General features: G+C 45.1%; 3 annotated features.

Moving 5' to 3' along the window:
• Window positions 4,797-5,091: a silencer, noted in NCBI's record as "tiled region #11517; HepG2 Repressive DNase matched - State 13:Ctcf". NCBI's record gives its function as "represses a minimal TATA promoter and a strong SV40 promoter by Sharpr-MPRA in HepG2 cells {active_cell/tissue: HepG2}" and the evidence as "EXISTENCE:reporter gene assay evidence [ECO:0000049][PMID:27701403]".
• Window positions 7,699-7,778: an enhancer, noted in NCBI's record as "active region_29545". NCBI's record gives its function as "activates an Ori minimal core promoter by ATAC-STARR-seq in GM12878 lymphoblastoid cells {active_cell/tissue: GM12878}" and the evidence as "EXISTENCE:reporter gene assay evidence [ECO:0000049][PMID:35858748]".
• Window positions 7,789-7,878: an enhancer, noted in NCBI's record as "active region_29544". NCBI's record gives its function as "activates an Ori minimal core promoter by ATAC-STARR-seq in GM12878 lymphoblastoid cells {active_cell/tissue: GM12878}" and the evidence as "EXISTENCE:reporter gene assay evidence [ECO:0000049][PMID:35858748]".

Below are 24,356 nucleotides of genomic sequence, written 5' to 3'. Positions count from 1 at the left end.
CCCACTAAAGCCTCCCAAAGTGCTGAGATTACAGGCGTGAGCCACTGCTCCCGGCGGAAAAAAATTAATCATTTTTAAAAATTCATTTTTAAGCATGATAAATTCACAATCTTTTCACACCAACTAAAATTCTTTGTCCATCTCCCTGCATGTCTTAGAACAGGTTTTGAATCACAGGCCCTGCAAGAACTTATCTAAACCTTATTTAGGGACATAATCAGCTAAAAGTGGAGCAGACCTCCTGCCATTTCATCCAGCTTAAGGAAACAGGGAAAGGAGTGAATGTTTCTGTTCTTAAGACTTCTAGTACATTCTTATTTCTTTGAATTTGAGGAAGATGAAAAAATTTGTAAATAGACTGGAATATAAAATAAGTCCCCACCCCCCCATTCCCCCAGAAAACCTCACAATCTTTCACAATCCATTTATGTCTTGAGAAATAACATCCCCTTTTGAGCTAACAGCGAATAGTGTATTCTTTACACCTAAGGGCCCTTTTCACCTGAGGTTGCAAAGGGGCATTGTTGTTCTCTACAACCTTGGAATTTAGCAAGATAAACATTGTCGGAAGCCCTCTCCTTGTTTCATAGATTGAGAGATTGAAGCCTAGGGAAGGGCATATGTACTCAAGGTCATATTCTGAATCGTCAGCAGTTCTGCTTCGTGAATGCAGCCCTGCTGATTCAATCTTTAGCGCTCAGTAAACAACTGGTGATGTGCGGTTAACTTTTCCACTGAAGCATTTAGAGATGGATATGTGTGTAGCAGGGTAATACAATATTTGAAGTTATGACCCCATTTGTTAGCCTAAAAGAAGCCTTTCTCCACCCTCCCCACAGGCCAAATAGGCAAGACTGCAGCCATCCGTTGCCCTGAGGGGAGGACTCTCAGGAGAACCTGAAAACAAATGTCAAATTCTTGGCTCTTGAGTTTCAAAACTAGAGGTCCAGATGCAAGATTTGAAAGAATACATAATTCCATTTGCTTCCTTAAGTCTCGCCCTCGTCCCCCAATTAAGTCCAGCAGTGAGTTCTGAGTGATCCCGGAGTGAGCGCGATAACATGAGCTGATCCCTGCAAATGAGACATCCCATCCAGGAGCCCTGTGGAGGCGAAGATCATGCCCCTCTCCCAGACCATGCAGTTAAAATTAAGAATTTATGTTCTTCAAAAGGTACTATATACACTATGGAAAGGTGTGGGGGAGGGGAGAGCAGCTTTGCAGTGCAAAAACCCAACAAATACTATCTAGGCGATGTGATCAAGGTCAACACCAACAGTGATCGGTCATGTTGACAGTGTGTGCCCTTGATGTGATACAATGATAATGGCAGGCACTTCACCTCTATGATCTTCCTCCCCCATACCCATAACCCCAGTGTAATCATGAGAAAAACATCAGATAAATGCCAATAGAGGGGCATTCTACAAAATATCTGACTGCTGCTCCTCAGAAGTCATCAAAAACAAGGAAAGTCTGGGCTGGGCGCGGTGGCTCACACCTGTAATCCCAGCAGTTTGGGAGGCCTAGGCGAGTGGATCACTTGAGGTCAGGAGTTCAAGACCAGCCTAGTCAACATGGTGAAACCCCATCACTACCAAAAAATACAAAAATTAGCCAGGTATGGTGGTACGTGCCTGTAGTCCTAGCTACTCGGGAGGCCAAGGCGGGAGAATCGCTTGAACCTGGGAGGCGGAGGTTGCAGTGAGTCAAGCTTGTGCCACTGCAATTTAGCCTGGGCGACAAAGTGAGACCCTGTTTCAAAAGAAAAAAAAATTAGCCAGGCATGGTAGCGCATACCTGTAGTCCCAGCTACTGGGGAGGCTGAGACAGGAGGATCACTTGAACCCAGGAGGTTGAGACTGCAGTAAGTCAAGATCTCATCATTGCACTCCAGCCTGGGTGACAGAGGGCAACGCTATCTCCAAAAAAAAAAAAAAAAAAAAAAAAAACCCAGAAACTATATTTTTAAAGAATCCAGCATAGATGACAAAAGTTTAAAGAAAAGCAAGGAAATGGTTACCATAAAAAATTAGAACAGTGATTACCTCCAGGGTGGAGGGGAGAAAGATATGTCTGAAAGAGACATGGAGAAGTATTTAGGGGTGCTGGTCATTTCTGAATGGTGGTGGTGGTTGTCACACTAGTGTTCATTTTGTGATTATCCATATTCTGAGCATTGATATTGTATGTTCACTTGTGTGCTGTATTTTCCAGTAGAAAGGTTTTAAAAATCTAGTTTGCTTTTTTTGAGTCTTGAGAAGGAGCACTTCTTTTTGACTTGGTAGAAATTATTTGTATGTGGTTTCAAATTATGTTTGCAAAATCTTGTGTTTACAAAACATGTCTTCAGTGAGTGTGGAAGTTTCCAAAGAAAGGCCAGTGTTGTGGTTGGCATGCTAATGGCTGTCTTCCGAGAGATAGTAGAGATGCTATCTCCTGTGGGAATTCACTATGAGGCAAAAGCCAGGCTTTGGCCTTCCAGCCTGAGAATCCCAGTTCTATCAGCATCCGAGAGTTAATCCAACTGGGTGACATCAACCCAAAATAATAAACTCATAAGATCTTAATGTTGCGAACAGCAGTTTGTTCATTTACAGTGAGATATATAAGTATGTAGTAGTCTGCATATTCATGTCAACCTGGCTAGTGTTTTCTCTCCAAAAATGCAAGTGACATAGGACTCTTTGAATTAGTCAGAATAGACTTGGTGAGTATACAATCAGAGCAAATATTTAATGCATTAAGCTCTGTTGTATCCATGTCCACATCTGGAACGTACACACGAAGCAGACTGAATATTTGTTTCAGACTGACAGGGCACTGTAATAAACCATATATTGGGGATGACTACAAGGACCACACCTTGCCATTTATGATAGCTTCCCACCGTTTCCATGACCTCTACGGTCCTGTCTGTACCTTTTTTTTTTTTTTTTTTTTTTGAGGCGGACTCTTGCTCTGTTGCCCAGGCTGGAGTACAGTGGCGCAATCTCAGCTCACTGCAACCTCCGCCTCCCGGGTTCAAGCGATTCTCCTGCCCCAGCCTCCTGAGTAGCTAGGATTACAGGCACATGCCACCACACCCAGCTAATTTTTGTACTTTTGGTAGAGATGGGGTTTCACCATGTTGGCCAGGATGGTCTTGAACTCCTGGCCTCAAGTGATCCACTCGCCTTGGCCTCCCAAAGTGCTGGGATTAAAGGCATGAGCCACTGTGCCCGGCCCTGTCTGTACTTTATGAGTCCACATCCCTGGCAGACTAAAGCAGGAGTGGTCACATGACCCAGACTGGGCCAATGGGCTTCTCTATCCTAGAATTCTGGGATTGAGGCCAAAAGATGCTAGTGATTCTTGTATAACAGTTGAACAGGGAGACCTATGAATTACCATCTTTTGCCACATACTCAGAGGTGGAGAAGCTGGGCTGCAGAAAGAGAGGAGCAAAGCAAACATCCAGAGACAAGTAGACAGGAAAGACCAAATGTGCCTGCAATTCCTGCCAGCTCTAAAATTATTTTCTCATCCGTGGGGAGACTCAGCTGCATCCCCTGATTTAGAACTATGTGTGATGGCCCAGAATTCTTATAACTCAACCTCCTCTTCTTTAAAAATTATTGTTATTATTATTATTATTATTATTATTATTATTATTATTATTATATTTTGAGACGGAGTTTCGCTCTGTTGCCCAGGCTGGAGTGCAATGGCGCAATCTCAGCTCACTGCAACATCTGCCTCCCGGGTTCAAACGATTCTCCTGCCTCAACCTCCCGAGTAGCTGGGATTATAGGCATGCGCCACCATGCCTGACTAATTTTTGTATTTTTAGTAGAGACGGGGTTTCGCCATGTTGGCCAGGCTGGTCTCGAATTCCTGACCCCAGGTGATCCACCACCTCCGTAAAAATTATTTTTAATTGTAATAAAATACAGGTAACATAAAATTGACCATCTTCACCATTTTAACTGTACAGTTCAGTGGCATTAAGTACATTCACATTGTTGTGCAGCCATCACCACAGTCCATCCCCAGAACTCTTTCATCTTGCAAATCTGAAACTCTCTACCCATTAAACAATAATTCCCCATTCCCCCATTATGCCAGACCCTGGCAACCACTGATCTACTTTCTGTCTCTATGAATTTGACTACTCTAGACACTTTGTCTAAGTGGAATCATACAGTATTTATCTTTGTGTGACTGGCTTATTCCACTTAGCATAATGTCCTCAAGGTTCATTCATGTTGTGGCATGTGTCAGAATCGTCTTCCTTCTTCAGACTGAATAGTATTCTGTTGTAGGGATACAACACATTTTGTTTATCCGTTCATCCATGGATGGACACCCTCCACCTTTTTGCTATTGTGAATAATGCTGCTATGAACATGGGTGTTCGAATATCTCTTTGAGGCTGGGCGTGGTGGCTTACACCTGTAATCCCAGCACTTTGAAAAGCCGAGGTGGGCAGATCACTTGGACCCAGGAGCTCGAGACCAGCCTGGGCAACATGGTAAAACCCTGTTTCTACCAAAAATACAAAAAAAAAAAAAAATTAGCTGGGCATGGTGGCGGGCACCTGTAGTCTCAGCTACTTGGGAGGCTGAGGTAGGAGAATCGTTTGAACCTGGGAGGCGGAGGTTGCAGTGAGCCGAGATTGCACCATTGCACTCCAGCCTGGGTGACAGAGCGAGATCCTGTCTCCAAAAAAAAAAAAAAAAGAAATCTCTTTGAGCTCCTGCTTCAATTATTTTGAGTATATACCCAGGAGTGGAATTGCTGGGTCATATGGTGTCTGGAGCTGCCATTTTGTGTTGCTATAATAGAATACCACCAACTGGGTAATTTATGAAGAAAAGTATTTCTTTCTTACAGTGCTGGAGGCTGGGAAGTCCAATATCAAGGTGCTGCCATCTGGCGAGGGCCTTTTTGCTGTGCTATCCCATGGCAGAAGGCAAGAGGGAGACAGAGAGCAAGAGAGCAAAAGAGGTCCAAACTCGCTTTTTAAAACAAGCCCACTCTTGAAATAATTAACTCACTCTCTCAATAACAACATTAATCCATTCATGAAGGCAGAGTTCTCATGACCTAATCACCTCTTAAAGGTCCCAGCTCTCAACACTGTTGCATTGGGGATTAAGTTTCCAAGGCATCAACTTTAGGGGACGCATTTAAACCATAGCATGTGGTAAGTCTGTTTTTAATTGTTTGAGGAACTGCCATATTATTTTCCTTAGAGGCTGCACCATTTTACAATCCCATCAGCAGTGCACAAGGGTTTTCATTTTGTCACATCCTCAGCAACACTTGCTATTTTCTGAGTTTTTTTTTCTTTTCTTTTCTTTCCTTTTTTTTTTTTTTTTTTTTTGATAGTAGCCATCCTAATGGATGTGATGTCAACCTTCTCTTTTGCATCAGCTGGTTTGATTGGGTGTCTGGGGACTTGTAACCAAAATATTTTTGGCTAAAATGAGCATGTTGTCATCTGGACACTGCTTGCTTATTCTTATTCTTATTCTTATTCTTATTCTTATCCTTATTCTTTTCTCAGGCTCCCTATATACTTCCACTGACAAACCTCACCTTCTGATGAGTACATCCTTTTCTTAAGATCTGTCAGCATTTTTTTTTTTTTTGTGACAGAGGCTCGCTCTGTCACCCAGGCTGGTGTGCAGTGGCATGATCCCGGCTCACTGCAGCCTCCGCCTCCCCAGTAGCTGGGATTACAGGTGTGTGCCACCATGCCCAGCTAATTTTTGTATGTTTTAGTAGAGACAGGGTTTCTGCCATGTTGGCCAGGCTGGTCTGAAACTCTTGGCCTCAAGTGGTCTACCTGCCTTGGCTTCCCAAAGTGCTGGGATTACAGGTGTTAGCCACTGCGCCTGGCTTGATTTTTTTTTTTTTTAAGACAGAGTTTCACTCTTGTTGCCCAGGCTGAAGTGCAATGGTGCGATCTCGGCTCACTACAACCTCCACCTCCCAGGTTCAAGCGATTCTCCTGCCTCAGCTGACGGGCTAATTTTTGTATTTTTAGTAGAGGCGGGGTTTCACCATGTTGATCAGGCTGGTCTTGAACTTCTGACCTCAGGTGATCCACCTGCCTCAGCCTCCCAAAGTGCTGGGATTACAGGTGTGAGCCACCGCGCCTGGCCTGAGATTTTTTTTTAAATTAGAGATGGGGGGTCTCACTTTGTTGCCCAGGCTGGTCTCAAACTCTCGGGCTCTAGCAATCCACCCTCCTTGGCCTCCTAAAGTGCTGGTATTACAGGTGTGAGCCACCGAGCCTGGCCTTACTTGATATATCTTGTTTTCCTGACTAAACCCCGACTGAGGCAGAGGACAAACCTATTTCCAAGTTTTAGTGGGCACTTCATCTCATTGAGACACTGGATACTGACTTCAGTGACTTTGGGATAGTTCTTCCCAACTCCCCTGAAAAAACCTAATCAAATGCAGAGTGTCTTCTGAATCTATGGTAATAGAAGTCAGAATATTAATTATCTCTGAAGGTGAGGGAGGCTGACTTGAAGGGCATAAGGGAACTGTCTGGGGTTCCGGTAATGTTCTGTGTCTTGATCTAGGTGGTGGTTACATGAGGGATATACATAGGTGAAAATGCAATAAGTTGTCCACTTAAGACTCATGCAAGTTAGAGTTCGTAGCTGTGTGAAAGGGAGAAAAAAGATGTAAGCATGTAACCATATCAAATTGTATCTAAAAACTTTCAAAAGTAGGGTATTCTCAGTTTGCACCTAGTGGATGAGTATATTTAAACTCACATGAATAGGAAACATTATTTGTGAATTTGTTCATTCACTATTCATTCATCCCTTTATTTAATATTGTGTGTTTATAATGCACTGTGTGAACACTGGGCCCTGATAACTTCAGAGCTAAATCTTAGGGAAATAAACTGAGAATTTATGTCCCATCTGAAGGGGTAAAGAAGAAAAAGCTTATTTCCACGTGGTTCAGCTCCAAGTTAGCAGTGCCCAATGTGCACAGAGCACATTGTAAGCACACAGCAATGGATGAAGGAATGAATGAATGAATGAGTGAATGAATAAATTAACAAATGATGGTTTCTATTATCCATAAGTATGAAATGGAGGGAATTTTCTGGGAGTAAAAGGATCACAGTAAGTTCAATTTCCAGATGTCAGAGGCATTTGAACCAGAGTGACTCCATCTTGAATGGGGCTGGGTGAAATGAGCCTGAGACCTACTGGGCTGCCTTCCCAGAGGACTAGGCATTCTCAGTTACAGGATGAGATAGGAGGTCCGCACAAGATACGGGTCATAAAGACCTTGCTGATAAAGCATGCGGTAAAGAAGGCTGCCAAAACCAAGATGGCCATGAAAGTGAACTCTGGTCGTCCTCACTGTTCATCACATGTTAATTATAATGCATTAGCATGCTAAAAGACACCCCCACCAGCACCATGACAGTTTACAGATGCCATGGCAATGTCAGGAAGTTACCCTATATGGTCTAAAAGGGGGAGGAACCCTCAGTTCCAGGAATTGCCCACCTCTTTCCCGGAAAACTCATGAATAATCCACCCCTTGTTTAGCATATAATCAAGAAATAACTATAAGTACTATCAGTTGGGCACCCTAAGCTGCTGCTCTGCCTATGGAGTAGCCATTCTTTATTTCTTTACTTTCTTAACAAACTCGCTTTCACTTTATGGACTCGCCCCAAAGTCTTTCTTGCTCGAGATCTAAGAACTCCCTCTTGGGGTCTGGATCTGGACCCCTTTCCGGTAGCACAGATAATTACAAAAGCAAAGACAGGGCAAGATTTCATCTCTGCTACAACTCTTTTTAAGACAGAATCTCTGGAGCTGACAGGAGCTGGTTGAGGTGCTTGATGTCGTGAGCAGGTCCTCTATTTCCTCCCACCAGCTCCGCTTCTGTCTCTTCTGCCTTCCCCGTTCCGCTTTTAACCCATGATTCAAAAAACCACAGCCTGATTCCCTTTCCTCCCAGCATGTGGCTGCCCACCTTCTTTTTCTATAATGGGCTGCTGATTGCTGCTGTGGAAATTCCCCTACCCCTGGGAAGTGGCTGTCATGTGGGCCCTCAAACCTGCCTGACCACCCTTTCTCCTGCCCCACTCACTGCTTCCTCCCTTCCTCCCCATCCCTGCAGCTGTTTAAAGCTTCCAGCAGTCTTCAAGCCCCTCCCTCCTCTAGGGAGATCACACTCCAGCTTCCCCCAGTTATGGAGCATCGTCCTGCTGACCATAGGGGAAAGAGTCTAGACTCGGGAGTGTGAATTGGTCATTAAGGATCCATTACCAGCCTCAGGAAAACAACTGTGCTCCCTCTTCTCTCATCACCTCTGGTAGCTACTTCCCCTTTATGAATGCGATGACTTATTAATGAAAAATCTTCAGTCTCTAGATACCCTTCCTCATCCCCAGCAGGGCCATTCCAGGAAACCTGCACCTAGCGGCCTGCGGGAGCACCTTGCACTGACCCGCTCTTGGGTATTAGGGAGAGCCTACAGAGGAGCATGGAAGCCTGGCTTTGCATTGTCATTGTCCTCACCCATTTCTTCTGCACAGAAGTTGAGTTCTGTTTGCACTAGGTGTGGCACTGGGGATGGGGAGAGAAGGGTGCCTCAGACTGAGACTTCACCCTGGAGGAGCTTACAGCCCCATGTTCCTAACTCTCGTGGTGTTCAGACTTCTCGTGCGGCATTTGCTCTCTCCTTCATCCACAGTTCAGCTTTCCACTTGGTGCCCGGTTCAACTTTCCAGTTAGAATTTGTTTGAATGAGCTTTTTATTTTAGAATAGGTCTCAATTTATAGACAAGCTACAAAGATAGTGCAGAGAATTCTCATATACTCTACATCCAACTTTCCCCTATTGTTACCATGATACATTAGTGTGGTATATTTGTCAGAACCAATATTAATGTATTAATAATAAAGTCCATACTTTATTTATTTATTTTATTGGGATGGAGTCTCGCTCTGTCTCCCAGGCTAGAGTGCAGTGGCCCGATCTTGGCTCACTGCAACCTCCACCTCCTGGGTTCCAGAGATCCTCCCACCTCAGCCTCCTGAGTAGCTGGGATTACAAGTGCCTGTCACCATGCCCAGCTGATTTTTGTATTTTTAGTAGAGGCAGGATCACGTCTCTGTGATCAGGAATTTGGGAGCAGCTTGGCTGGGTGGCATCTGGCTTGGGGTCTCTCAGTGCCACTGCAGTCAGACAGTGGCTGGAGGTGGTGTCATCTTTAAGGTTTCTTCACTCACATGCCTGGCACCTGTGCTGGAAAGACTCAAACATCTGGGGGCTGGAAGTGTTGGGGCATATTGGGCAACTCTCTCTCTATTTCTACATGACCTCTCCACACATGGACATTCTAGGAGGTGGCTTCAGGGTAACCAGATGGATTCCATGGAAACTCTGGATTCCAAAGGCTAAGGTGTGTGTCCCCAAAAGGAGAAAACCAGGTGGAAGCCATAGCACCTTTTATGAACTAGCTTTAGAAAGTCACTGAGCATCACTTCCTCTCTATTCTACTGGTCAAGGCAGATATAAGGGGCTGCCCAGGTTCAAGAGGAGGGAACATGGACCCTCCACCCATCAGTAGAGGCTTGTCAAAGTCAAAGTCACATTGTAAGAAGAGCCTGTGGATTCGGATATTTATTGGTGTGGCCATCTTTGGAAAATACAATCTGCCATACGGGTTTGCATATAGGTAAGGAGACAATGGCTGTCATAGCTAATGGAATACCATTTTACCCAACAATATATTATCAGCATCTCATCACATAATTATTATGCAACATCACTTTATAAAAAGTTTAATTTTTAAAATTTATGTTACCAAAGTAATGCATACTTGTGAAAAAAAACCTCAAAATACAGAAATGCATAAAGTAAAACATGGGCCAGGTGCAGTGGTTCATGCCTGTAATCCCAGAACTTTGGGAGCCCAAGGTGGGCGGCTCTCTTGAGGTCAGGAGTTCAAGAACAGCCTGGCCAACATGGTGAAACCCTGTCTCTACTAAGAATACAAAAATTAGCCAGGCGTGGTGGTAAGCGCTTGTAATCCCACCTACTCAGGAGGCTGAGGCAGGAGAATTGCTTGAACCTGGGAGGTGGGCAGAGGTGGCAGTGAGCCGAGATCATGCCACTGCACTCCAGCCTGGGTGGCAGAGCAAGACTCCATCTCAAAAAAAAAAAAAGAAAGAAAGAAAGAAAAAAGAAAAACATGGAGGGATTCTGTCATCTCTTCCCTCTCTAGAGGTAAAAATAAGTTCTATATTGGTCTAGACTTTCTGCTATACCTATTCAATCATATATATAATTTTTAATTTTTTCTTAGAAAAATATCACATTACACATTCTTGCTTATTTTACTTTAAAATGTCTCAGCAACTGGGTAAGGTGGCTCATGCCTGTAATCCCAGCACTTCGGGAGGCTAGGGCAGGAAGATTGCTTGAGGCCAGGAGTTCAAGACCACCCTGGACAACATAGTGAGCTCTTGTCTCTCTCTAAAAAAAAAGATAAAATATCTCAGCTACCATGCCATTTCAGGAAGTATATAGGTGCATAGTATTCTATTGTCTGTGTTATGGTGTCTGTAATATACAGATAGTGTGTTAGCAATGTGTGTTACTGTAGTTACCTTAAGCTACCCTCTTGGAACAGTCCGTTGCCCTTTACAGGTGTTGCCAGATATGTTGCTAATGAGCATAATGAGTGTTCAAGTCAATCTGCACAATGGCTATTAGAAATAGGCTCTTATTGTTGAATTAAGAAGTATTCAAGGTATACGGATTGGCTGTGAGCTATGCTAGAGATCCTCCTCACCCTTACACAACCAAGGTGATTGAATCTAGATGGGCATGTGGCCCATGCTCAGTAGCACCTAAGGCTAGATGTCCAATAAGCCCTTTGTCCAGCCATGAATTTGAACATTCTTGTTGCCTGATTCCACCTACAAGGCTAAAGGAATCCTGTTTTCAGGACACTGTAGCCTTTGCAGCAAATGAACCTTGCACGAACGACCAAGAGCTGGGTTTGAGTCCATCGAAGAGGTTATACAATTGTTGTGCCTGCTTGTTAATATATTTGGCCAATTTGGACCTGAGACCTGCTTTTGTTCTAACCCAGTAGCAAGGTGGGGAATAAGTAGGCTCCACTTACTTTGGACTAATGGTGGCTACAGAGAGCTTCCATGTGTGCCTGACCAAATTGGCCTAAGTCACTTCACAACATAATCAGCGTATCATAACTTATTTTTCCAAACCCATTCCAACAGACATTTAAATTGCTTCCAGTGTTTTGTCTTTACATAAAATGCTGCAGTACCATCTGTTTCACAAAATGTCTGCAAAAATCTTTTTAATAATTGCAAAATATTTTTGTATTTTTATTTATTTATTTATTTATTTTTTTGGAATGGAGTCTCACTCTGTCACCAGGCTGGAGTGCAGTGGCACAATCTCGGCTCACTGCAACCTCTGCCTCCCAGGTTCAACTGATTCTCCTGCCTCAGCCTCTCGAGTAGCTGGGACTACAGGTGCCTGCCACCACGCCCGGCTGATTTTTGTATTTTTAGTAGAGGCAGGAGTTCCCCATATTTGCCAGACTGGTCTCGAACTCCTGACCTCAAATGATCCACCCACCTCTGCCTCCCAAAGTGCTGGGATTACAGGCATGAGCCACTGCACCTGGCCGTATTTTAGATTTTGGCTGAATGTAGATTTGAACTCAGATCTGATTGATGTCTTTCCCAATACTTCTAGACAGAATTTTCTGGAAGATTGAACCTGGGGGTGCCAGGAGTTAATTATGGATGTTCCTATTTGGGGATTCTATCCCAGACCTCAACTGACTTTTCACCTCTCTGGGTCAGCTTAAAATGATTTCCCACCCTTGTTACAAGAATGTTTTTCTGAACAAACACACAAGAAATCTTGTTACAAATTAATTTTCAAACCCAGGAAGGTAGAAAGCTTAGATTGTTCAGTACATGGAGTTAAATATAACCTCATGCACTGAGCAATACATATAACGCCCTAATTAATAATTCAGAGCGTCAAGTGCATTGTGGGAAGATGTCATGTCTGCAGTGCCTGTTTGTGGGAAAATTTGCTACCTTAACTGCATTACACTCACCTTCTACCCACCAACCAAAAAGAAACCAGAGACATTTGCCAAGAAGTGGCAAGCATATATTAATGACAAAAGGCAAGAATAGTATTATTCTAATTTACCAGTTATAGTGTCACTGAATAGAGAAGGGCTTCTTTAAATCCAATCTTCCGAGACAAAGGAGATTTTGATGTGGATTTTTGCCTCCATTACGGTGTTTTATAGTCTGTGTTCCTAAGAACTGGGTCAGATTTTGCAGTAGGTCTGTGATTTATTTGAACAGCCTGATACTTACATTCCTAGGCAAGCAGTATATAAAATGCCGTTTTAATATTGGAGTTTTTAAGTTAGAGTTTTTTTTTAATTGAGCTAACAACTCAATTAAATGCACCCCCCAATACCGTGCATTCTATACATAGTTCAATGTAACTGAATTTTTTTCTAAATGAATCCATCTGTGATTTCCCCTCTTGCAGACTCAGTCTTTTTCTTTTCTTTTCTTTTTTGTTTTGAGACAGAGTTTCGCTCTTGTTGCCCAGGCTGAAGTGCCATGGCGCAATCTTGGCTCACTGCAACCTCTGCCTCCTGGGTTCAAGTAATTCTCCTGCCTCAGCCTCCCTAGCAGCCAGGATTACAGGCATCCACCACCAAGCCCAGCTAATGTTTTGTATTTTAAGTAGAGAAGGGGTTTTACCATGTTGGCCAGGCTGGTCTTGAACTCCTGACCTCAGGTGATCCACCTGCCTCGGCCTCCCAAAGTGCTGGGATTACAGGTGTGAGCCACCGAGCCCGGCCAGACTCAGTCTTTTCACTCCACACATATCGTCTCCCTCGTCCCGAGCCAGCCAAAAGTAAGTTGTATCTTTTCTGATCCTCTGGGATATTTTATCATTCTTTATCTTACACAGCAGGATGCCTCCTTTAGTTGGAATTTTAATTTATTTCTAAGCAAAAGAATTTACTTGTTAAAAGCTGTCTGGGTCCTGTTTATAAGTTTATTCAGTACAGTTACAGTTATGCACCATATAATGATGTTTTAATCAACAGTCCAGACCGCATATATGAAGCTGGTCCCATAAAATCATACCATTTACTGTGTCTTTTCTATGTTTAAATACACAAATACTTACCATTGTGTTACAATTGCCTACAATATTCAGGACAGTCACAAGCTGTATAGGTTAGTAGCCTCGAAGCAATAGGCTACACCATACAGTCTAGGTCTGTAGTAGGCTATCTAGGTTTGTGTAAGCACACTCCGTGATTTCGCACAATGATAAAATCGCCTAACCATGCATTTCTCAGAAAGTATCCCTGTTGTTATGTGAGGCATGACTGTATTTGTAAGTGGCATGTAAACCAACCAGAGTCCACCAGCAAAATACTTTCAGTTAAATAGCTTAGAATACATTTATACTTCAGAATACACTGTACTCTGAAGCTGTAATAAGAACAGAAAGCTCTATGGATCAATTGTAGATATATTGTTAAGTGAAAAAAAAAGGTAGCAGAACATTTTGTGTTGCATACCACCATTTATGTAAAAAGGAGTGGAATATATAGAGATATATGTATATTTGCTAGTATATACATAAAATAACTCTGAAGGAAACACACAAAAAACTGATCAAATTGGTTGCTTTTGGGGAGAAGATATGGGTGGCTGAGGGCAGGAGTGGGGAGACTATATATCTTTTGTTACGTTGTGAATTTTGAACCATGCAAATGTACTACCAGTTCAAAAAATAAAGGAACATGGCTGGGCGCGGTGGCTCACGCCTGTAATCCCAGCACTTTGGGAGGCCAAGGTGGGTGGATCACTCGAGGCCAGGAGTTTGAGACCAGCCTGGGCAACATGGTGAAATCCTGTCTCTACCAAAAATACAAAAATTAGTTGGGCATGGTGGCATGTACCTGTAGTCCCAGCTATTCTGGAGGCTGAGGCAGGAGAATCGCTTGAACCCGGGAGGCAGAGGTTATAGTGAGCCGAGATTGTGCCACTGCACTCTAGCCTGGGCAATAGAGTGAGACTAAGTAGCAAACAAAAGGAAGGCAAAACAACAACACAGTCTGTCTAGGAGGAGGTAACAGATCACCTTGGAGCTGACCTTGGTCCACCCCTCTTACTGCTATAAATCTTATTGGCAACAGATAACCACTGGCCCCAGGGACGGGTAGAGCAAGATCTTTCTTTGTGTCTCAATATAACCTGTTTCTCCCAGTAACCCTTGGTACACAAAGACTATCCCAGAGCAAGTTTTTGTGAGGGGTCAAAGAGATTCCTGAGATTAGAGAATTCAGGGTCTGTCCCTGTCTGATGGGTGGAGAGAGCTCTTGGTGGGCTCAGCTGCCAGACGGGGGACGTGGGAACCCTTGGGGAACTCATCAAGCAGAAAGAAGCTGGATGAAGCTCAACATCGGGGTACGGATTGTTGTTGGGAAAAGCAGATTTTTTTGAGACAGAGTTTCGCTCTTGTCACCCAGGCTGGAGTGGAGTGCAATGGTGCGATCTCAGCTCATTGCAACCTCCACCTCCCGGGTTCAGGCGATTCTCCTGCCTCAGCCTCCCCAGTAGCTGGGACTACAGACATACGCCACCATGCCTGGCTAATTTTGTATTTTTAGTGGAGACGGGGTTTCACGTTGTTGGCCAGGGTGGTCTCAAACTTCTGTCCTCAGATGATCCACCCACCTCGGCCTCCCAAAGTGTTGGTATCACAGGCGTGAGCCACTGCGCCCGGCCAGGAAAGGCAGATTCTTATCGAGGGTGCGGTTGGGGCTGCTGCTGCAACACCTCAGACGTGTTGTGGAAACAAGAGCTGAGTGTTTCAGGGAAAAGCAAGGAGCCATACACTTGGGATCCCAGCTGTTGGTGCCTCATCCCAGGGGTCCCACGAGGGAGGGGTCAGCCTTCCTTGGAGAGCCTTTGGGGCTTGGACAGGGGCTGGGCTGCAGTGAATTAGGATGGTTGGACAGAAAAAGACTACTGGTTTTTATCAATACCAACAAAACTCAGGGGCAGTCCAGGTGCTGTGGCTCAGGCCTGTAATCCCAGCACTTTGGGAGGCCAAGGCAGGAGGATTGCTTGAGGTCAGGAGTTCAAGACCAGCCTGGGCAACATAGCGAGACCTTGTCTCTACAAAAAATAAAAAAATTAACTGGGCATAATAGCATGGCTGTAGTCCCAGCTACTCAGGAGGCTGAGGTGGGTGGATCCCTTGAGCCCAGAAAGTTGAGGTTGCAGTGAGCTTTGATGGTGCCACTGCACTCCAACCTGGGCAACAGAGTGAGACTCTGTCTCAAAAAAAAAAAAATGCGACTGGGTGAGGTGGCTCACGCTTGTAATCCCAGCACTTTGGGAGGCCAAGGCAGGTGGATGATCACTTGAAGCCAGGAGTTTGAGACCAGCCTGGGTAACATGGCAAAACCCCATCTCTACTAAAAATACAAAAAAATAGGCAGGCATGATGGCACACACCTGTAATCCTAGCCACTTGGGAGGCCGAGGCACGAGAATAACTTGAACCCAGGAGGCGGAGGTTGCAGTGAGCCGAGATCGCACCACTGCACTCCAGCTTGGGTGACAGAGCAAGATTAAAAAAAAAAAAAAAGTGTCGCCTCTAATAGAACACAGTGGAAGTGAGGCCGTGTGATTTTCAAGGCTAGGCCACAAAAGGCATTACAAACAATATGACTTCTGCCTGGCACTATCCCTTTTGGAATGTCTTCAGAGCTTTGAGCCACAATATAAGAAGTCTGGTTTCCCTGATGCCACCATGCAGAGAAACCACAGAGGGATAGCAGAAACTGGAGGAGCCCCAGCTATATCAGCTCCCAGCTGTGCCGAGTCTTCCCAGCCCAGGCACTACACATAAAGGGAGTAAGCCTTCGAGATGACTCCAGGCCCAGAATTCAGTGGAAATATATAAAACGCTGTGCTTTACAGAGAATACATATTCTATTCAGTTGTGGAAAATTTATAAAAGTTAACCAAGTCTTAGCCTTCAAAGAAACTCTGAATATATTCCAAAAGAGGTATCATATAAGCCAATTATCAGACCTTAATACAACAAAATTAGAGTGTAACAAGAATGAATAACCCAAATAACTCTATCCTTTTGGAAATTTGAAAATATCCTTTCCCTCATACAAATCAACAAGAATAAGGCTGGGCACAGTGGCTGTAATCCCAGTACTTTAGGAGGTCAAGGCAGGTGGATCACTTGAGCCCAGGAGTTGGAGACCAGCCAGGACAACAGAGCAAGACCCTGTCTCTATTATATAAATAAAACATTTTAAAAAACACAACAAGAATAAACAATGTTTTATCTAGGAAAGGGAGAATGAAAGATTAATGATGACCAAAGAGGCCGAGCGCGCTGGCTCACGCCTGTAATCCCAGCACTTTGGGAGGCTGAGGTGGGTGGGCCATTTGAGGTCAGGAGTTCGAGACCAGCCTGGCTAGCATGGTGAAACACCATCTCTACTAAAAATACAAAATTAGCTGGGCATGGGGGAGCACACCTGTAATCCCAGCTACTCGGGAGGCTGAGGCAGGAGAATCACTTGAACCCAGGAGGTGGAGGTTGCAGTGAGCCGAGATTGTGCCACTGCACTCCAGTCTGGGTGACAGGGCGAGACTCTGAAAAAAGAAAAAGAAAGAAAGAAAGAAAGAAAGAAAGAAAGAAAAGAAAAACAAAATTCTTCACTTGGGCCAGGTGTGGTGGCTCACGAGTGTGATGCCAGCACTTTGGGAGACCAGAAGGATCACTACAAAAAACAAAAATTAGCCAGGCATGGTAGTGCTCACCTGTAGTCCCAGCTACTTGGAAGGCTGATGTGGGAGGGCCGCTTGAGCCCAGGAGGTTGAGGCTGCGGTGACTGCACCACTGCATTCCAGCCTGGGCAACAGAGTGAGACCCTGTTTAAAAAAACAAAAAACAAACAAAAAAAACCCAACCAAAATACAAAAAGAAAATACTTCAGTCTGAATGAACAAAACTTTCTCAAATATTAAATAACATTGATCTAACAAGTTAACCTTTTAAATCCAGTGAACTTAAAGTTCTCCTGAATATTCTGGTACAATTCAATAGTACAAATTAAACTTTAAATCCTAAAACTACAATCAGTCACATATTTGACGTTTAGAGTCACATGGCTGTTTCTCCAACTGGCTAAATTTGTTAAACATTACAAGTACATATCATGCCCAATTTGCTGAGAATAATTTTCTTCTTTGTTTTTGTATTTTTTTTCTTTTTTCTTTTTTTTTTGAGACGGAGTTTCACTCTTGTTGCCCAGGCTGGAGTGCAATGGCACGATCTCAGCTCACTGCAACCTTCACCTCCTGGGTTCAAGACATTCTCCTGCCTCAGCTTCCCGAGTAGCTGGAATTACAGGCATCCACCACAATGCCCAGCTAATTTTTTGTGTTTTTAGTAGAGACGGGGTTTCACCATGTTGGCCAGGCTGGTCTCCAACTCCTGACCTCAGGTGATCCACCCACCTCGGCCTCCCAGAGTGCTAGGATTACAGGCATGAGCCACCATGCCTGGCCTTTTTTTTTTCTTTTAAACACAAAGTCTCACTCTGTCACCCAAGCTGGAGTGCAGTGGCACAATCATGGCTCACTGCACCCTCGATCTCCCGGACTCAAGCAATCCTCCTGCCTCAGCCTCCCAAAGCGCTGGGACTACAGGCATGAGCCGCAGTGCCCAGCCACCTCAGATTCTTTATAAGAAAATATAGGCCACTCTAAAACATCTCTAAACTTAATTAGAAATCTTACCTGGGTTGAAAGATGTTACCCACTAAGGAACATGGTTATCACTCCAGGGAAATGAAGTTACTTTTGACCAGAAATTTTGGCCACAGATAAGCTCTGGAACTAGAGAGAGCTGGGCGGGGGAATTCCTCTCCTGCCCACGAGGAAACTAATGGTTTATCAGCATGCTTGAAGTGGCAAAAAGAATACATTGACATTGAAAGTTGCTAAATCAATGATTCTATAACTCCAAGGGGTGTTCAAAGCCCACATTAACTACCTCTTTAGTCTCCTCACTTAAATCTATAAGCCCCACCTAGGCTGAGCACTTCAACAGATTTTGCATTTCTTTGACTCTTAAAAAGTGTATACATAGGCTGGGCATGGTGGCTTATGCCTGTAATCCCAGCACTTTGGGAGGCCGAGGCGGGCATATCACCTGAGGTCAGGAGTTCGAGACCAGCCTGGCCAACATGGTGAAAGCCCATCTCTACTAAAAATACAAAAATTAGCCGGGTGTAGTGGTGTGCACCTGTAGTCCCAGCTACTCTGGAAGCTGAGGCAGGAGAATCGCTTGAACCCAGGAGGCAGAGGTTGCAGTGAGCCGAGATTGCACCACTGCACTCCAGACTGGGTGACAGAGCGAGACTCCGTCTCAAAATAAATAAATAAAATAAAATTTTAAAAAGTGTGTACGTATCTTCCTGCCTAGGTCTAAAGACCTTTGAAGCCACCGGGCACCTTGGCTCACGCCTGTAATCCCAGCACTTTGGGAGGCCAAGGCGGGCTGATCACTTGTGGCCAGGAGTTCGATACTCCTGCCAATCTGGAACCCCATCTCTACAAGAAATAAAATTAGCTGGGCGTGGTGGTGCATGCCTGTAATCCCAGTTACTCAGGAGGCTGAGGCAGGAGAATCGCTTGAACCGGGGAGGTGGAGGGTTGCAATGAGCCGAGATCGCACAACTGCACTCCAGCCTGGGTGACAGAGTGAGTGAGAAAATAGTTTGGAAAAGTAACTGAATACGTTTATGAGCAATTAGAGTAGATGTGGTGTTGTTTTGTTTTGATTTGTTTTTTAGACGGAGTTTCACTCTTGTTGCCCGGGCTGCAGTGCAGTGGTGCAATCTCAGGCTCATCACAACCTCTGCCTTCCAGGTTTGCCTGTGCGCCACCACACCCGGATAATTTTGTATTTTTAGTGGAGACGGGGTTTCTCCATGTTGGTCAGGCTGGTCTCGAACTCCGACCTCAGGTGATTTACCCACCTTGGCCTTGCAAAGTGCTGGGATTACAGGCATGAGCCACCATGCCCGGCAGAGACCTTGTCTCTTATAAATAAAATAAGAAGCACAATGGCAGCTTGGAGAAAGGAGAGAGGCCCACTCTTCCATGGTGATGCATGATGCAAGATCTCTAAGCCAGGACTGCTTAGATATGGACAAGTTCTGTGTTTTTGTTTTTGTTTTTTGTTTTTTTGTGTGTGTTTTGTTTTTTGTTTTTTGAGACAGACTCTCATTCTGTCACCCAGGCTGGAGTGCAGCGGCGTGATCTCAGCTCACTGCAACCTCGGCCTCACGGGTTCAAATGATTCTCCTGCCTCAGTCTCCTGAGTAGGTGGGATTACAGGTGTGTGCCACCACACCCAGCTAACTTTTGTATTTTTAGTAGAGACAGAGTTTCACCATGTTGGCCAGGCTGGTCTCGAACTCCTGACCACAGGTGATCCACCTGCCTTGGCCTCCCAAAGTGCTGGGATTACAGGCATGAGCCACTGCACCTGGCCTGATATGGACAAATTCTTACTCTTTGGCTCCCCTATTCCTAAATTTGTCCTTTCTAATAATGATAAATATGTGTATAGAATATTCCTACATATTCTCACATATGTGATCCTTGTAAGAATGCGCTGAGAGAAATATCACTGTTGTTATTACATTTTATAGATGAGAAAACTGCAACATGGAAAACTGAATCAGCCAGTTAGTGAGGAGGTTGGGGTTCCAACTTCAAAGCCACGCTGTTTCCCCAGCCATAGTAACCCTGGACTTCTAACAATCCAGGCATGTAATTGTAGAGGACTTCCCTAAGAGCAAACACTGGGAGCAGACTGAGCCTGGGTCAATTTTCAGAAACAGGCCTAGTCTCCTTCCCCATCCACACATTAGAAGTATTTAAATAATTGAAGAACCTAGAGGGGCTGAGAGAGAGTTTGATTGGCCAGCTTGGGTCACGTGCCCATCCATATAATGGGAAGATGGGGTCATGTTATTGGCAGCAGTATGGAAAGAAAAGATTCATTCTAAATTTGTTTCTTGTTTTTTGTTTTTGTTTTTCCTTTTTGTTGAAGAACGGAGTCTTACTATGTTGCCCAGGCAAGCCTCAAGCTCCTGAGTGTAAAGTATCCTCCCGCCCTTACCGCCTTCTGTTGGGATTACAGGGGTGAGCCACTGTGCCCAGCCTGAAGGATTCATTCTAAAGGAAGAGGAGTGCTGTTACCAGAAGAAGATAGCCAGGCATGCGGTGTAGACAAAAGCCAGGGACACCCACACTCTAAGTTTGGAATCAGTAGGTGTTAGGGGTTGAACTGTGTCCCTCCTCCCACCAAAATATATTAGGTTGGTGCAAAGGTGCAAAATTAATCGCGGTTTTTGCCATTACTTTCAGTGGCAAAAACCACAATTACTTTTGCACCAACCTACTGTGTTAGCACTCTAATCCCCAGTACCCCCGAATGTGACTGGTGTCCTTATAAGAAGGAGAAATGTGGACACAGGCATGCATATAGGGACAATGCCATGAGAAGGTGCAGGTAGAGATGGGGTGATGCTTCTGCAAGGTGAGGAACCCCCAAGATTGCCAGCAAACCACCAGAAGCTGAGGGAGAGGCATGGAACAGATTCCCCTCATAGCCCTCAGGAGGAACCAACCCTGCCAACACCTGGAGCTTGACTCCCAGCCTCCGGAACTGAGATAATACACTTCTGATGGTGAACCCAGACAGTGTGTGGTCCTTTGTTCCAACGGACTAATACACTTGGCTGGACAAGTGGGATTCTGACAAAGGCTGCTACCGTCCCTGTCCATCACTAACCCATTTCTGCCTCTTCTCCTGTTTCCTTTGTCCCTCAGCTCCTACATCAATGCCCTTCCCCCAACCCACTCATTTCTGTCCAATCTCCAGCCAGCAAGACCACTGTTCCCAAGCCACTGCTGTGTGCATTTAGATCCCAGAATCCTACTCTCTCCAAATGAAATAACAGTCCTCAGGGCCGGGCACAGTGGCTCACACCTGTAATCCCAGCACTTTGGGAGGCTGAGGCGGGTGGATCACCTGAAGTCAGGAGTTCGAAACCAGCCTGGCCAACATGGTGAAACCCTGTGTCTACTAAAAATACAAAAAGTAGTTGGGCATGGTGGCACATGCCCGTAGTCCCAGCTACTTGGGAGTCTGAGGCAGGAGAATGGCTTGACCCCGGGAGGTGGAGGTTGCAGTGAGCCGAGATCACAGCGCCATTGCACTGGAGCCTGGGTAACAAGAGTGAAACTCCATCGAAAGAAAGAAAGAAAGAAAGAAAGAAAGAAAGAAAGAAAGAAAGAAAGAAAGAAAGAAAGAAAGAAAGAAAGAAAGAAAGAAAGAAAGAAAGAAAGAAAGAAAGAAAGAAGGAAGGAAGGAAGGAAGGAAGGAAGGAAGGAAGGAAGGAAGGAAGGAAGGAAGGAAGGAAGGAAGGAAGGAAGGGAGAGAAAGAAAGAGAAAGAAGGGAGAGAGGGAGGGAGGGAGGGAAAGAAAGGAAGGAAGGAAGGAAGGAAGGAAGGAAGGAAGGAAGGAAGGAAGGAAAGAAAGAAAAGAAAGGAAGAAAGAACCCTCCCCTAAGGAAGGGTGAGGGGTATGATTTGGCCTGCTGTTTGCCTGTGTGGGTTGTCTTCCTTGTCACTCATCTCTGGATGGGCTACAAGAATGAGTGGCCCACTAACTCCTGCCCTGTGTGGCTGGTGGGGGGTGAAGAGGGGGCATAAAAACCCGAGAAGTGCAGCCTGGGCAACATGGTAAAACTCTGTCTATACAAAAAATGCAAAAATTACCTGGGTGTGGCCTGGGTGTGGTGGTGCATGCCTATAGTCCCTGCTACTGGGGGGCTGAAGTGGGAGGATCACTTGAGCCCAGGAGGTCAAGGCTGCAATGAGCTGTGATTGTGCCACTGCACTGCAGCCTGGGTGACAGAGTGAGACCCTGCCTTAAAACACACACACACACACACACACACACACACACCTGAGAAGTGAAAAGGGTCATCTCAGCTGGGTGCGGTGGCTCACGCCTATAATACCAACACTTTGGGAGGCTGAGGTGGGAGGATCACTTGAGCCCAGGAGTTTGAGACCAGCCTGGGCAACATAGTGAGACCCCCATCTCTACAAAATATATTTTTTAAAAAGTTAGCTGGGTGTGGTGGCACACACCTGTAATCCCAGCTGTTTGAGATGCTGAGGTCTATAGTCCCAGCTACCGGGAGACTGAAGTGGGAGGATCCCTTGAGCCCAGGAGGTGGAGGCTGCAGTAAGCCATAACTGGGCCACTGCAATCCAGCTTGGGTGACAGAGTGAGACCTTGTCTCACACACACACACACACACACACACACACACACACACACGCAAAAAAAAAAAGAAAGAAGAAAGAAAAAGAAAGAGAGAGAGAGAAAGGAAGAAAAAGAAAAAAAAGAAAGAAAGAAAGAGAAAGAAAGAAAAGAAGAAAGAGAAAAGGGAGCCAGGCACGGTGGCTCACGCCTGTAATCCCAGCACTTTGGGAGGCCAAGGCACGTGGATCACTTGGAGGTCAGGAGTTCGAGACCATCCTGGCCAATGTGGTGAAACCCCCATATCTACTAAAAATACAAAAATTAGCCAGGCATGGTGGTGGGTGCCTGTAGTCCCAACTACTCAGGAGGCTGAGACATGAGAATCGCTTGAACCCAGGAGGCAGAGGTTACAGTGAGCTGAGATCACGCCACTGCACTCCAGCCTAGGTGACAGAGGGAGACTCATTCTCAAAAAAATTAAAAATTAAAAATTAAAAAAAAAAGAAAAGAAAAAGAAAAAGGGCACCTCTGAATCAGGATTTTGATTCAGCTCACTGATGCCTGGTAAGCTAACACAGGATGAGAAAACTATACTTAGGAATTGCCACTATGCACTGCCAATGTTCTTTGTTTCCCTTGTGAATTTCCTTAGGTTTTGGTAAAACTCCTTCAGATAATTACAGCCTTTTTTTTTTCTTTCCAACTTTTATTTTAGGTTCAGGGGGTGCATGTGTAGGTTTGTTAGAAGGGTAAATTGTTTCTCATGGGGATTTGGTGTACAGATTATCTTGTCACCCAGGTAATGAGCATTAGCACCCGTAAGTAGTTTTTCAATCCTCTCCCTCCTCTCACCCTCCACCCTCGAGTAGGCCCTGGTGTCTATTGTCCCCTTCTTTGTGACCATGTGTACTCAATGTTTAGCTCCCATTTATAAGTGACAACATGCGGTACTTGGCTTTCTGTTCCTTTGTTGATTCACTTAGGAGCAGCCTTTCTTTTTTTTTTTTTTTTTTTTTTTTGTTGAGACAGAGTCTCCATCTGGTATGATTTCGGCTCACTGAAACCTCTGCCTTCCGGGGTTCATGCAATTCTCCTGCCTCGGCCTCCCAAGTAGCTGGGATTACAGGTGCCTGCCATCAATGCCCAGTTAATTTTTGTATTTTTACTAGAGACAGGGTTTTGCCATGTTGGCCTGGCTGGTCTCGAACTCCTGACCTCAGGTGATCCACCTGCCTCAGCCTCCCAAAGTGCTGAGATTACAGGCACGAGCCACCACCCCTGGCTAGTATTTGCCTTTCTGTTCCTGCGCTGATTCACTTAGGAACAGCCTTTCTTAAAACTGCTAAAGAATGAGGTGGGGCTGAAGGAGGTTGTAGAGGTGATGGCGGTGATGGGGGCTGGGGGGCAGAATGGCTCACCCTTGGGCTAAAGAGGAAGAAGTTGCCATGTTTGGCTTAACTGGGGCAAAAGTAAAAGACCCCAAAGCCTCAGAAACTAGAATAGCTGGTCAGGGAACTCCTGAGACTTGGCCCAGGTTGCATGCAGCTGGAACGGCATTGTTATCTAGATTCCAAAAGGGGCTAGCTCTTTTCTAGAAGGTCTGAGAGAGAGGACCCAGTCTAGGTGGAGGGCCAGAGCTGCTGTGAAAATTGGAGCTCAGAGGAGGCAGCTTAACTCAGTAGCAGAGCAGAAAGCACTGATAAGTTGCTTGCTCTCAATGGCGGCTCTGTCACTCATTAGTTGGGTGACCTTGGTGTGGTGGTCACGGTGATCCCCTTCAAGGAAGGATCCGTTGCTCCCTCTGCTATCGGCAGGGCTGTTGCGGACACCCTCAGCCCTTAGCAGCTCCAGAAAGTGCCTCATCAAGGTCATCGCTTTTTGGGGAA

The sequence above is a fragment of the Homo sapiens genome, chromosome X, assembly GCF_000001405.40.
Source record: "Homo sapiens chromosome X, GRCh38.p14 Primary Assembly".
Lineage (NCBI taxonomy): Eukaryota > Metazoa > Chordata > Mammalia > Primates > Hominidae > Homo > Homo sapiens.
Note: the sequence above shows the minus strand (reverse complement) of the source record. Positions and strands in the feature narration are given on the sequence as shown.